Source organism: Homo sapiens, chromosome 13, assembly GCF_000001405.40.
Source record: "Homo sapiens chromosome 13, GRCh38.p14 Primary Assembly".
NCBI classification, from domain to species: Eukaryota; Metazoa; Chordata; class Mammalia; order Primates; family Hominidae; genus Homo; species Homo sapiens.
Window position 1 is genome coordinate 107,178,411 of NC_000013.11, and position 15,188 is coordinate 107,193,598.

The 15,188-nt window shown below is 36.9% G+C and overlaps 1 protein-coding gene across 1 annotated transcript in view, besides 1 other annotated feature; it reads right to left on the bottom strand.

Moving 5' to 3' along the window:
- The window catches only part of NALF1 (NALCN channel auxiliary factor 1), a 703,987-nt gene that overhangs the window by 14,901 nt on the left and 673,898 nt on the right, over positions 1 to 15,188 (bottom strand). The gene's annotated exons all lie outside the window — the stretch shown is intronic.
- Positions 13,812 to 14,386: an enhancer, noted in NCBI's record as "OCT4-NANOG hESC enhancer chr13:107844570-107845144 (GRCh37/hg19 assembly coordinates)". NCBI's record gives its function as "activates a minimal SCP1, AML or CMV promoter by ChIP-STARR-seq in naive H9 embryonic stem cells {active_cell/tissue: H9 hESC(naive)}" and the evidence as "EXISTENCE:reporter gene assay evidence [ECO:0000049][PMID:30033119]".

Genomic DNA, 15,188 nt, shown 5'->3' on the forward strand with positions numbered 1-15,188 from the left:
CTCAAAAGGAGACATACAAATGGCAAACAGGTATATGAAGAAGTGCTCAACACAATTGATCATCAGAGAAATGCAAATCAAAGCTACAATGAAATATCATCTCACCACAGTTAAAATGGCTTTTATCCAAAACACAGGCAATAACAAATGCTGGTGAGGTTGTGGGGAAAAGGGAACACTGTTTGTGGGAATGAAAAGTAGTACAGTCACTATGGAGAAAAGTATGGAGGTTCCTCAGAAAACTAAAAATAGGCCAGGCACGGTGGCTCACGCACCTAATCCCAGCACTTTGGCAGGCCAAGGCGGGCGGATCACGAGGTCAGGAGATCAAGACCATTCTGGTTTACACCGTGAAACCCCGTCTCTACTAAAAATACAAAAAAAATTAGCCGGGCGTGGTGGCGGGTGCCTGTAGTCGCAGCTACTCGGGAGGCTGAGTCAGGAGAATGGCGTGAACCCAGGAGGCGGAGCTTGCAGTGAGCCGCGATCCCGCCACTGCACTCCAGCCTGGGTCACAGAGTGAGACTCTGTCTCAAAAAACAAACAAAAAAAAAAAACAAAAAATAGAGCTACCATATGATCCATCAATCCTAGTGCTAGTTTTATGTCCACAGAAAGGAGATCAGGATACGGAAGAGATACCTGCACTCCCACGTTTATTGTGGCACTATTCGCAATAGCCAAGATTTGGAAGCAACCTAAGCATCCATTGACAGATAAATGGGTAGAGAAAATGTGGTACATATACTTCATGGAGTACTATTCAGCCATAAAAAGGAATGAGATCCTGGTCATTTACAACAATATAGATGGAAATGGAGGTCATTATGTTAAGTGAAATAAGCCAGGCACAGAAAGAAAAACTTTGTATGTTCTCGCCTACTTGTGAGACCTAAAAAATTAAAACGATTGAACTCATGGAGATAGAAAATAGAATAATGTTTACTATAGGCTGGGAAGGGTAGTGGGGGGTTGGTAGTGGGGATGGCTAATGAGTGCAAAAATATAGTTAGATAGAATGAGTATGATCTAGTATTTGTTAATACAACAGGGTAACTACAGTCAACAATGATGTATTGTACAGTTTAACTAAAAGAGTATAATTGGATTGTTTGTAACATAAAGAAAGAATAAATACTTGAGGGGGTGGGTACCCCATTTACCCTGATGTGTTTATTACACATCTTATGCCTGTATCAAGATATCTCAATAATGTTATACCTATTATGTACCCACAAAAGTTAAAAATGTTTTGAAAACTAAAAAAAAAAAAAAACCACAGCAGAATATTTTCTGAGTTCTAGAGGCTGGAAGTCTGAGATCAAGGTGTGGGCAGGGCTATGCTCCCTCTGGGGCTCAAGGGGAGGATTCTTCCTGGGCCCTTCCCAGTCACTGGTGGCTACCACCTATTCCTGGAGCTTCTTGGCTGGCAGGCATCATTCCAGCTGCTGCTTCTGTCCCCACGTGGCCTTCCCTACATGTCTCGGTGTCTTTGCTGTTCTTATAACGCACCAGCATATTGGATCCCAGGCCCACCGCAATCTAGTATGGCCTCATTTTAACTTAATGAATTCCATGTACAAAGACTCTATTTTCAAATAAGCTCATATTTTGAGGATACCCCATTTAGCCTGATGAGATTATTATGCATTATATGCTTGTATCAAAATATCTCATGTACCCCATAAATATACAGACCTACTATGTATCCACAAAACTTTAAAAATAAAATATAGAACAGAATTTAAAGAACATCTATTTTAAATCATTTTTTTGTTTTCCAATTAGTCAAAGCCACTTACCAAAAAGTCCTCATTTTTCACAGCTCAAAACAATTATTCAAGTATAGGCATTACAAATACTATGTAAGCACAAGAAAGTCAATAAAGTTCCTTTATTCTAAGGAAATCTTAAGGAATCTGAGGGATAAATATTTTCGTTATATCTAAGGAATAAATATTTTCTAAGGAAATCCTTAGAATAAAACATGGCATTATTTAAGTACGATCTTTATCTCAGTAATTTACATTTTGACATAGAGTCCAAGAATATATGAGACAAAATTTTCAAATGTTTAAATTAGTAATGCACTTTAAAATTATAAAATAATTCTGATTGCTGAAGCTTAGAAAACAGTAACATAGTCTTTTTCATCTGAAAAAAGAAGAAACTACTGCAATTTGTTTTCTCAATCTTTTTTATTAATGTGAAGATGCATATATATACACACACACTACATGCATATAATTTGTGAATCTCATATATAAAAATATATTTAATGTGAAATTGTAGCTACTTTGCTGTTCTTTGACTTTCCAGTATTTATTTTACATCTGGCATGTTTATTATCAAGTGAGATTATATAAAAATATATATAGTGATAGTTTTAGAAAGAGCAATTTTTAAGTATTTTAACCGTCTAGGATAGTTTATATGGCGTGAAATTTATAAAGCATTGTGGATAATGTTTCCTAAAGGTAATTTTCAAACTTTTTCAATTTCTTTCATGTTTATTTATCTGTCATGGTTACTTTGCGTCAATTTTGATAGTTCATATTCTCTAAAAATAGCTTGTTTATAGGATTAGATTATTATAGAGTTGTGTATAATATTGTCTCATTTTAAAACCCTTAATTTGTCTAGATTCTCTTCCTCATTGTTAACATTTTATTTCTATTTTATCTTTATTTTCATCCTTGATTAGACTTGAAAGGTTTCTTAGTTTTATTTGTATTATCAAAGATACAACTCTTGAACATATCAGTACCTATTCTGTTTGTTAGTGAATTGGTATCTTTATTTATGTGAATTCTTCATCTTTCGTTTAATTTTCTTTTACTATTCTCTTTGTAACAATATTGAATTGAATGCCACTTTACTCAGTTAAATTGAGTAAAATATTCTTAAAAATAAAACACTTACTGCTCTAAATGTATTCTTAAAAATAAAACACTTACTGATCTAAATTTCCATTTGATAATAGCTTTAGCCAATTCTCTTATGTACGTATTTTGTAATTGTATTTTATATTATCTTTTGTACTTAAATTACTTGAGTGCTTTTTTGCTGTGTTTTGTTTTAGTTTTGTTTGATACATTTTATAGAGTACTTTTATAACTTATTTTTCATTATATTAAGTTCAACAATGTGATCTTTAGAAAGTTTTTTTTTCAATTGTTTTCCTTGTGTCTTACTATATAGACTTTTTTTTTTTTTGCAAATGTTAGTATTGGATAACCATGCTTAATCGCTATTTTAATGTATTTTTCCCTATTTAAAAGTCATCAAATGAGACATGTATGTTTTACAAATGTTTCTAATTATTTTGCTTTAAATATTTTGTTATTATGTCTGTAGGCACAGAAAGTTCATAAACACATTTCACTAGACATTCATCACTAAACTAGGAAAAATATGACATTCTTTGTCGTTATAAAGTGCAATTATTGGTTTATATTTGTTGAGGTTTTTGTTATTGTTTTATTGTGATTTTGAATGTATTTTGTTTGGCTTTCTAGTAATCTCTATACATACTAGCATGCTTGTCTGATATATCTTTGTCCATTATTTTAATTTTTTAAATTTTTTTCCATAATTTTTCTTTATACTTTTCTCTGTATCACATTCTTTATCTAAGAGTTTCACAATGATTGAAAAGGACAACCCAACTCACTTGCTCTTACTGTCAGCTCTGAGTGCTTGTCCCTACTTTCGTCATCGCCTAATCACATTTTTAAATATCTGAAAATGTTTCTTTACCATTCCTTTTGTTTTCTGTCATTTGCAATATGAGCATATTTATTTATTTATTTATGCTGTGTGTGTGTGTGTGTGTGTGTGTCCGTGTGTGTGTGTGTGTGTGTTGGTTTGTTTGTTTTGAGACAGGGTCTGGCTCTGTCACTCAGGCTGGAGTGCAGTGGCATGATCTTGGCTCACACTGCAGCCTTTAGCTTCCAGGCCCAAGTGATCCTCCTGCCTCAGCCTCTCTCAAGTAGCTGGGCCTACAGGTGAATGCCACCACGCCTGGCTAATTTTGTATTTTTTGTAGAAGTGGGGTCTACGTTGCCCAGGCTGGTCTCAAACTTCCGGGCTCAAGTGATCTGCCCACCTTGGCCTCACAAAGTGCTGGGATTACAGGTGTAAGTCACCACACTCGGCCCTATGTGACCATACTTAAATGTATATTTTTTCATAATTTGTGAAATTCATGCTGTTATTAATTCTATTAGAACTTATCCTTTAAAAAATCGCACACACTTGAACTTATATTTGTCTACTTAATGAAGATCATTAATGAGAAAATTGACGAAGTTTTACTTTCTTCAACAAATCCCTCACCACTTTTTGGCTACAATCAGATGTTTCAAATCTATTTATTTTCAAATTATTAACATTTCATATATTCCCTCCATCCCATTTTGTTTTATTTCTGTCTTATTTGGGGGTGATTGGGTTGTATTGAACAGAAATTCACTGGAGCTAATTTAGGCAAACAAAATAAAAACGGGGGATGGCAGGAATATTAGAAACATCCAAGTCTATTTTATGAAATCCAAGGGCAGAGTTATTTTTGCTCCAACATGAAGAGCAAAATTAAGGTATTGTATGGCCATGAGAAAGGAGTGCTCCACCTCGGTGGAGAGGTGTGATTCATCCCTGCTTCCTGCCACGTGCCTCCCTCGCCATCTCCCACTTGGCAGGCAAGGCCTTGCTGCTTTCCATCCATATCCGCCATACAGCAGGGAAGACTGGAATTGTGGATTTGCTGGGTCCCAGCGACACACCCCTGGGGGAACAAGTCCAGTTGGCTTGCTTCTCTTGTCCATGCCAGTCCAACCCTCCATGCCAGGGAGGGATTCTCACAGCTGGCAGTGCACACGTTGGTCTACTCTCCTTGAAAGAAAAATCTGAACATTAAAAAGTTAGGAAACAACAGATGCTAGAGAGGATGTGGGGAAATAGGAACACTTTTATACTGTTGGCGGGAATGTAAATTAGTTCACCCATTGTGAAAGATAGTGTGGCTATTCCTTAAGGATCTAGAACTAGAAATACCATTTGACTCAGCAATCCCATTACTGGGTATATACCCAAAGGATCATAAATCATTCTACTATAAAGACACATGCACATGTATGTTTATTGCGGCACTGTTCACAATAGCAAAGATGTGGAACCAACCCAAATGGCCCTCAGTGATAGGCTGGATAAAGAAAATGTCGCACATATACACCATGGAATACTATGCAGCCATAAAAAAGGATGAGTTCATGTCCTTTGCAGGGACATGGATGAAGCTGGAAACCATCATTCACAGCAAACTAACACAGGACCAGAAAACCAAACAACGCATGTTCTCACTCATAAGTGGAAGTTGAACAATGAGAACACATGGGCACAGAGAGGGTAGCTTCACACACCAGGGCCTGTCGAGGGGAGGAGGGCTGGGGGAGGGATAGCATTAGGAGAAATACCTAATGTAGATGACGTTTTTCCAACAAATTTTTCCAACTTTACCACTGTCTGGTTTCAACACCACTTGCATATTTTCTATTTTCTTTTTCTTTTTTTTTTTATTTTCTTTTTGAGACAGAGTCTCACTCTGTTGCCGGGCTGGAGTGCAGTGGCATGATCATGGCTCACGGCAACCTCTGCCTCTCAGGTTCAAGGTTCAGGTGGTTGATGGGTGCAGCAAACCACCATGGCACGTATATATCTATGTAACAAACCTGCACGTTCTGCACATGTACCCCAGAACTTAAAAGTGTAATAAAAAAAAAAAAGAGAAATCTGACATCCGTGTTTTTCTTCTCAGACAAATATATTTCTCCCTGTTGTAGCTGGTAGGATATTTTATTTATTCACAAAATTCAAGAATGTTAGAAGTTGATCTAATTTCTTTAATTTTGCCTGAACGGAGAAAACCATTTTAATGCGCCGATGGAAAGGTAGTCCCTATTGCTTTATTTCCTCCTTCAGTTTTGCTTTGTGTGTTTCAGTTTATTACATTCCCTCTGATCATTTTTATATTCTTAGTCTCTGCCTTGGACTTAGTCTCTGTTTTCCGGAGAGCTCTTCAAGACTGTCCTCCACTTTGCTTTTCTAGGTCCCTATGATTGAAACTGTATGTGTATAACATATTTGCATGTTTTCCTTTTGCAATTTTTCCCCATTGCATTGCAATATTTTCTTTTTCTATCTAAATTCATTTTCATGTTTTCCTGCATCCTAGCTAAATTCCGTTTCACTCTTCTTCCCTAGTTTAAAGGGCCTTTTTGTCCTCAAATTGTATTGAGAGCTGATGCTATCTAAAACTACTCCTGTAGTAATTTGTCTCAAATATATGCTATTATTTTGTTTCTGAATTCCTGTTTTCCTTTTTTATGTCAAGTATATTTTATTAGCATCCATATTTAATTTTCTGTGTTTTATAGGTTACACTGAGTCTCCAAAACGATATGTTAAAGTCTCAACCCCGAATACCTCAGAATGGGACCTTATTTGGAAATAGGGTCTTTACAGAGATAACCAAGTAAGAATGAGGTCATTAGGGGTTCCTTAATCCAGTAAGACATATGTCCTAATAAAAAAGAAAAGATGTGGACACAAAGACAGGGAAACACAGAGGGAAGATGATGTCAGAGACATACAGAGAAGGCCGTGTGACAGCAGAGGATTAGAGCAGCGCAACTACAGGTCAAGGAGTGCCAAAGATTGCTGACCACCTCCAGAGGCTGAGAGGCCTCCAGAACAGATGCCCCGCATAGCCTCAGGGGAACCTATCCTGCTGACATCTTGACCTCAGGCTTCTAGCCCTCCAGAACTATAAGAAAATACATGTCTACTTGGTTAATCTATCTAGTTTGTGGTACTTTGTTACAATGGTGCTGGGAAACGAATATACTGCATATTCATCTTAGAACAGAGATGTTTATCTATTTGCCTCCAGAACAGTGCGTGTTATTCCCCCCACCCCCGCCCCTCCCTGCATGCCTCTCTCTCTCTCTTTCTATTTTTGACACCTCACTTCCCCTGTGGATACTATTCAGAGTGCTAAGAGATCTAGTGTTCTGGGTTATCCTACTCCAGTTAGTTCTCTTCCTCTGAGTTTCTGTCTGTGTTACATTTCATATTAGAGATGATGGGGTCTTATTTGTACCCATCAATATCACCAATATTGAGGTCCTATGTTGCCCTCTTTCTCCAATAACTCTTTTGTTTGACTAGCATAAAACTTTAAATACTTTTTCAGATGGGATATATGAAACATAAACTTTCCACCATGTATATATTTATTTATTTTTTTAAATTAGCTTTTAAAAAACTTAGTTCTCTTATTCAAAAGATATTTTGCCTAGGTATAGGATTCCAGATTCACAATCTCCTTTTGCATTTCACTATAAGCAGCAAGAATCAATCAGGTTATACCTTCAACACTTTGCTGAGCAGTCTCCTCAGCTAAGTAGCTGAGTTTATCACTTACAATGTCCACTTCTTTCTGGAGTTTCATTTACCTGTGGCCAACCACAGTCCAAAAATGTTAGATGCAAAATTCCAGAAATAAACAATCCATGAATTCTAAATTACATGCTGTTCTGAGTAGTGCGAAAAAAGATCTTATGCCATCCTGCTCCATTTTGGCCAGGAAGTGAATCATCCATTAGTCCAGCATGTCCACACTGTATATACCAACCTCCTGTTAGTCACTTAGTAGCTGTTTTGGTTATCAGACTGAAAAAATATAGTATACAAAGGGCTTGGTACTAACTATACATAGCGTTTGACGGGGTTTAGTATCCACCGGGGGATGCTGTAATGTATCCCACACAGATGAGAGGGGACTACTGTATCTGTGAACTGCCTGTTCAAGGTGATCTGGACTTTTTCTATCATGCTCCACTAAATTTTTCCAACTTTACCACTGTCTGGTTTCAACACCACTTGCATATTTTCTATTTATTTATTTATTTATTTTTGAGACAGAGTCTCGCTCTGTCGCCAGGCTGGAATGCAGTGGCATGATCGCGGCTCACGGCAACCTCTGCCTCCCGGGTTCAAGCGATTCTCTTGCCTCAGCCTCCTGAGCAGCTGGGACTACAGGTGCGTGCCACCACGCCCAGCTAATTTTTGTAATTTTAGTAGAGATGGGGTTTCACCATGTTGGCGAGGATGGTCTCGATCTCCTGACCTTGTGATCTGCCCACCTCGGCCTCCCAAAGTATTGGGATTATAGGTGTGAGCCACCATGCCCGGCCCATTTGCATATTTTCTAGGCAATTTTTACAACAGCACTCTGCTTTTAGCATCACAATCTGTATTCATTTTCCCTTGCTGTTATAAAAAATTGTTACAGACATAGTAGCTTTAAATGATCCTTTTGTTATCTCATAGTTCTGTAAGTCAGAAGTCTGGGATGATTTAACTGGTTTATCTACTCTGGGTTTCATGAGACTGAAATCAAGGTATGGGATTTGATTTTCCAAGCCCATTCAGGAAATCAGCAGGATTTAATTCCATGTGGTTGCTATACTGATGTCCCCATTTTCTTGTCGGCCATTGGTTGGAAATTCTCAGCTTCTAGAGGTCACCTGCATTTCCTGGCTCATGTCTCCTTCCTCCATCTTAAAATCCAGCAACTGTGGGCTGAGTGCTTCTCATGCTTCCCATCTCTCTGATCTCTTCTTCTGTCTCGTCTCTTTGACTGATTCTTCTGTCCTCTTCTTTCATGATTACATTGGGATCACCTGAATAATCCTGGGTAATCTCTTCATTTTAAAGTCATCTGATGAGCAATCTTAGTTCCATGTGCAATGTCCCTTCTGCCACGTAATGTAGCATATTTACAGGCATAAACCAGAGAGAAGGTCACTGGGGTCAAACTCCTTCCACCACTTCAGGCCTTCCACCACTTCTACCTTTGTGTTCTTTTCTGTTGTGTCTTATTTTCTTCAAAATGCTTATATAGGATGGATCCTGGCTCTTCTACATAATACTCTTCTCTCATCACCTTTAATTGTCAAGTCTCTCCAACAGGCAGAATTATCTGCAGGGTGAGGGGATGGGAAACAAGTAGGCCCATTGCAGCAACCTTCCCAGTACTACCCAAAGGAGGTAAGATGAAGACTGATCCTGAGGCTCCTGACTTCCACCCCACACACTCATTCAATGTTTGTTGAAAGAAGAACCCTGGTTTTATGGAGTGAACAACACCACGCATACGTGGGAATGGAGACAGCCGGGCAGCTCAGATGCCTGCTTATCATTTTAATCTATCAGGTAATTCCTGGCCCTTTTTGTTCTCTTTCTCTCAGTAATTCCCCCAAACAAATCCTGATCACCCATGGGTCCTATGGGAAGAATGGTTCCCATTTCCTCTGCTCTTTTTAGAGCTTACTCTGAAGATTCTCAACTCTGGCCTCTGTCTTTTCTCTCATATACTTTTTTATTTTTATTTTTTAAAGTATCAATTCAGTTCTATTAGGTTGGTGCAAAAGTAATTGTGGTTTCTGCCATTAAAAGTTATAATAGCATCCCACTTTCCAGGCTTTATGGCTTCTGTGAGTATATCTCATTTTATGGTTTTTCATTCAATCATAATAAGATTTACAGAGAGACGGGAGGTAAAATTTTGGCTTCAGATCATCAGCTTGAACCAGAATCTGCCACATCCATAACTTAAATGCAATGATTTACTCATCACCAAGACAATTTATTTTTTTGCCATCATGTAAATCCAAATTTAGTGTTGCAGAAAATGATCTTTGAAGTTAGTATGTTGACTTTAATATCTCTTCATTTTATATTTGCTATGATAGTGATTTCACATGAATGTTATCTATAATTTACTTAAAAATAACTTACAAAAAATTAAAAACATCATCAGGATCCAAATTTTGTCTATTATTTTTCTCAAAGGTAAAAAATTGTAAAATAATCTCTAGAGAATTTGCTAATTTTCTAGGGTTATTTATAATTTGGCAGGTAAAACAATAAGAGAGGCCAATCTAAGAAACCTAGAAAAAAAAAGTTCAAATTATAGTGACCATCTGCAGAAAGAATTCTGCAAATTTTGGATATCTATACATTTATAATTTTTATCATATCTTTTTAAAGTCAGGGCAAATTTTAAGTAATTAAGGAATACATTTATAAACAAGTAGTTTTTGGGAGTAATGGAGACAGATGTATCAGATCTGTAATGATGAATAAAGGCTAGCATCATTACATCTAATATTAATAGAATTATATTACTCTTCTTCCAGTTGACATTAGTGAGAGTAAGGATGAGTCCTCCACTCTCTCCTATTCTCAATACCCAGCTGTATGTGGACAAGAAGCTCTACAAATGAACAATATATATTTGTTTAATGAGGGAAGGAAGCAAGGAATAATGAATGCGCTAATTCACTGAGTTATTAGAGGATGCTGCAATGAATTGAATGTAGTAGAACACAAAGCACCTAGATGTAGCCTAAGAGTAAAATGTAATGCAAGTACAAATAACAGGAAGGGAAGTGACACAAACTCTTAAGAAAAGGCCATACTGACCTGATTATGCAAAAGCCATTCAGAGCTGAAAGCTAACTGCACATTAGATGGAATATAGATTGCTCTAAAGACTGAAAAACGATACTAAATGAAATGAAAATCAAAGGCCCACATTAAAATGGCAAAGAAGTTAAACAGAGAATTTACTCATTCATTAAGATCATAAGCTAAGTTGAGGAATAAATTGGGCATTTGAAATGTCTTGAAGCTAAGCAGACAATTTCCTCAAGCAATATTCCTAAAGTTTTCCAGTATTTCACCAGGAGAACAAAGACTGTCTGCAGCCAAAGAGAATATAGTCTAAACAGAAATCTAACACACACTGCAAAATATCACATTTCACATTGTTATTTTCCCCAAAATGGTCACACAGTAATTTTTTTAATTATGAAAAATGTATTCTAAGAAAACAGAGAAGAAAAAAATGGACAAAGAAATGTACACTCACCAAATATATCATTTAATTTTCCTCCCCCTCTAATGAACCCTTAGAGGGTTGTCTTAGTGATCGTTGGACTTTATAGGATGGGGTACAGGAAAGTCACATGGATTCCCGGAGAAGAGGTCCGTGCTCTGTAGCTCAGTTGTTTGCATCTGCACCAACCATCCAAGCAAAGCAGGACTCAAAGCAGTGGGCATTGTCAGGATTGAATGACTTGTGTCTTTCCTTCCTACTCTGATAAGTTACCAAGTACCAGGGACTCCGAGTGGAGACTGGCAGTCACCTGGGAAAGGAATAAAAATTGCAACTCCTTTCTCTTTTATCACTATGAACTAACCAGTATGGCAAAATGCTTTTACTTTTCAGGTTAGATTACTCTCATAAATGGGAAGGGTGCCTAAGGAGTTTCATGAAGCACATTTAGGAATTTGGAATAATTTAAGTGTTCCACATGAATTTACGTTACAGGAGGGTGTAAACAAGTCGGATCTCTCATAGATGTCTGTGTGTCTTCGTGTTGAGTGCTAGCTACCTCAGCACTGGTTTTATTCACATCATTGCTCAAGAAGCCATGTGAGGGGATTTGTGTGTTCCTTGTTGAGAACATTACCTATTATGTTCTCCTTATATTTATTTTTGTTATTTTCCTCTGTGAAATGGCACTGAGGGGTCCACATTTTGTAAATCAGTGTTACTGTTTAGTATATTGCCCACAGTTATTTTTACATTGGAAATCCTTGGTAACTACAACTCTGCAAAGGAAATATTCTAGAACACAGGAAACTATAGAAATAATTCTGTGGCTGCAGTATCTCAACCCATAGGTTGTAATTGAAGAGACAGTATTGCTAATGCTTTGATCCATCAATGTATTTAGAGTACAAAGACCATTTCCTGCTTTTCTTTGTAAAAAGAAAACCAGACTTTCTGTGTAATGACAGAATGCATACAAAACTACCCCAATGTCTGTGTACACTCACGCATACACAGAACAAGCTAATGGCTTCAAGGCATGTAAACACCTCATAAATAGAGTTGACTTCCAAAATATGCCTTATTTTCAATACTTAGGGGAAAACTATTTTCCCAATTTGATCTGCCAGTTTTTAAAATGTTAAATATTAAAATTAAAAGTTGTGATTTTAATCAAAATGTTTTTACTCAAAACAAATGCTAAAACTTAAATGAGTAATCCTCTGGCTCTGAAGAAACACAATGATATTTTAAAGCAAATGTATTAGAAAATGTTATAGAACAGATAAGAAAATCATTCTCAATATTATAAAGTCAATATTAAAATTTGCAAAAGGAATATTAGTTAGAATAATCTGTTACCTTTATTTTTCAGACTTGAATTGAATGGACTTCCAGTAATTTTAATATTTCCAGTAGAAAATCAAATGAAAATAAAGTACTATAGCAATTTTCAAAAAGAAATTACGAAAGCATTGGAAACAGGGACATCTCTGAGAGCAGAAAGGTAGAGTTTGGGGGATGGGGTGTAGCTTCATTTGAAGAGGATACTATTCATTAGAATTGCAGCATTCCATTGAAAAGAAAGCTGTAGTTATGCATATTTTTCACTGATTGATGGAAAATAGGTATTTAGTTCAGATTCTGGCATGTCAGTTGCCAAACAGAATAATGTCTCAGGTAGTATATTGTTTCTTCCCCTAGTTACAGGGCCAGGTAGAGTGGCATCATTATGATTTACTTCATCTGACGGCTCCTTGGATTATTTCTCTGTTTTGATTTCCAATTGTTGACCTCAGAGGTCATTGGTTTGCACCTATTTTTGAAGACACAAGAACCTATAAGGTTTCGACATAATGGAAAGGACTCTGATAATGCTCACTAAATAGTAAAAAAAAAAAATGAGTTTGAAATGATAAAGATAAAATAACAAAATTAGTGATTTTTTTGAAAAATAACAGAATTTAACACTCAGTTGCAACTCTTACTTGAAAGACCTAGAAAATATTTATAATAAGAAAAGCAGTCATTCTTGTGATAGTTTAGATATTTCCTGTCTTGATGCAGATTACATTTTATTTCAAAAAATATATCTGAAAGTCTTGGAAGACCTATTAAACTGAGAAAATTTTTAAAAAATGTAAAAATCAGTTTTTGAAGTACATGTTTCCTAGAGGCGATGAAGAAGCTGATATGTTAGAAGCCGGGGTCCTAGGAGCTTCTCCACGACTTTCACAGTGTTGGCTGCATCAGTCACTCTACGCCATGTGAGTAGAACACATTCTTAAAATTCTTAATTTTTTTTTTTTTTTGAGATGCAGTCTCACTCTGTTGCCCAGGCTGGAGTGCAGTGAGTGGTGCACTGTTGGCTCACTGCAACCTCTGCCTCCTGGGTTTAGGCAATTCTCTTGCCTCAGCCTCCAGAGTAGCTGGGATTACAGGCTTGTGCCACTATGCCTATTTTTTTTTTTTTTTTTTTTGTATTTTTAGTAGAGACGGGGTTTCACCATATTGGCCAGGCTGGTCTTGAACTCCTGACCTCAGGTGTTCTGCCCACCTTGGCTTCCCAAAGTGCTGGGATTACAGGCATAAGCCACTGTATCCAGCCAATTCTGTGTTCTTATAAGAAATACAGATGCAGGAAAAGAAGAATGTGCATGACCGATGATGAGAGAGAGAGAGAGACAGAAAGGATTATGTATTGAATGAACAATTAGACATTAAGAAGCAACATAAAAGAGAAATAAGAAGGACCATGTAAAAAGTTTAAACACAAATATTTAAATAATTGACAAAATGATGTGAAACATTTTACTTATAAAAAGGAAATATTAATTATAATAACCTGTGGTAGCGCTCCTGACACGGGGCACCAGCTGTGGGGGTCTGACCCAAAGACCCTGACCCAAACGACGGATGAATAACATGCACTGACACACAGATATTCTGCTTTGCCAGTCCAGCTGAGTGTGTCTGGGCCGCTTACAGACTCCCTGGAGAGTACTGTAAACAGTTGCGACCGCGGCCCTGACCAGCTAGTGAGACTCACATTAATTTGGTAAAGATTAATTGACAAAGGCTTGAGTCAACACCACTAGAGGGTAATTGACATTGTGGACTTCCCGAGAATAAAGCGCTTAAGCACCCGTGGTACATCAAAGGTTAGTCTTAGGACCACATGAGTAAACAAGCTAGCTAGCTAACTTCCTCACATTCCTTTGTTACTACTCTAATTTATTTAACTAAAGGTAAAGATCAGGTTGCCTTTAACCATATCTATTACTGAAGTTATGCAAACTCTCAGGCCTTCCAAGAGGGTTTGTGGCTATCATAACTAATATTTTTCCCATCAGCCTGACTGAACCCCAACAATAACCTATGACTACAAAGGAGTAAGAAAATGAGCCATATAATATACTTCTGGTGAGAATCCATGTAGTTATAAACTTTTTGAATTTTTGGCAATAAATATCAAAAGGCTTAAGCTTTTGCATACCCTCTGACCTTTCCACTCCAATTCAAGTTTGTTTTAATGAAATCAATAGTAAGTACATGGAAATAAGTATGTTTATATATGTTCTTAGTAACATTTTTTATGTAGCAAAAAATAAAAAAGAAAAAATCCTATAATTAGTAAAACATTTGTGCAATTTACATTATGCTTATATGCTGTACTGTTAGTCATTAAACTAGGCTGTGAAAGCATATTTAATGGTTTGAAACACTATTTATGGTATAAGATGACATTTTCCTCTTGGTGGTAGCTGAAGGTTTTCCTTATCTTCTTTTGGCTTATCTGCACTTACTAAATATTTTTAAATGATTAAGCATAGATGTTTCAGTATAAATAATACAATAAATATGACTTTGCAGAAAGAATGCTTTGGCTTTTTAGGATATGTGAACAAAACGGCTAGAATTTTCAGAGACCGTTTTTTACTGTCTAGAATAGGCAGCACATGAACAGTAAGCAGGGTGTTAAACATGCGGATGGTTTGCAGTGCATCCTTATTACTAACAACAACAACAAAGCAAGGATGGTTTGGGCTTTACTTAGCCACTTTCCAGAGGAGACCTGTAAGGAGATTCATGTAGGCATTGTTGGTCTCATTAATGGCAACACATGTAGGGTAGTGGGCAGCTTTTGTTTAATTACCCCTTCTGGGAAAAGCACCCAGATGTGGTTTTGGGGAGCAGTCCTCCCCAGTTCAATGGATGCAGTTCA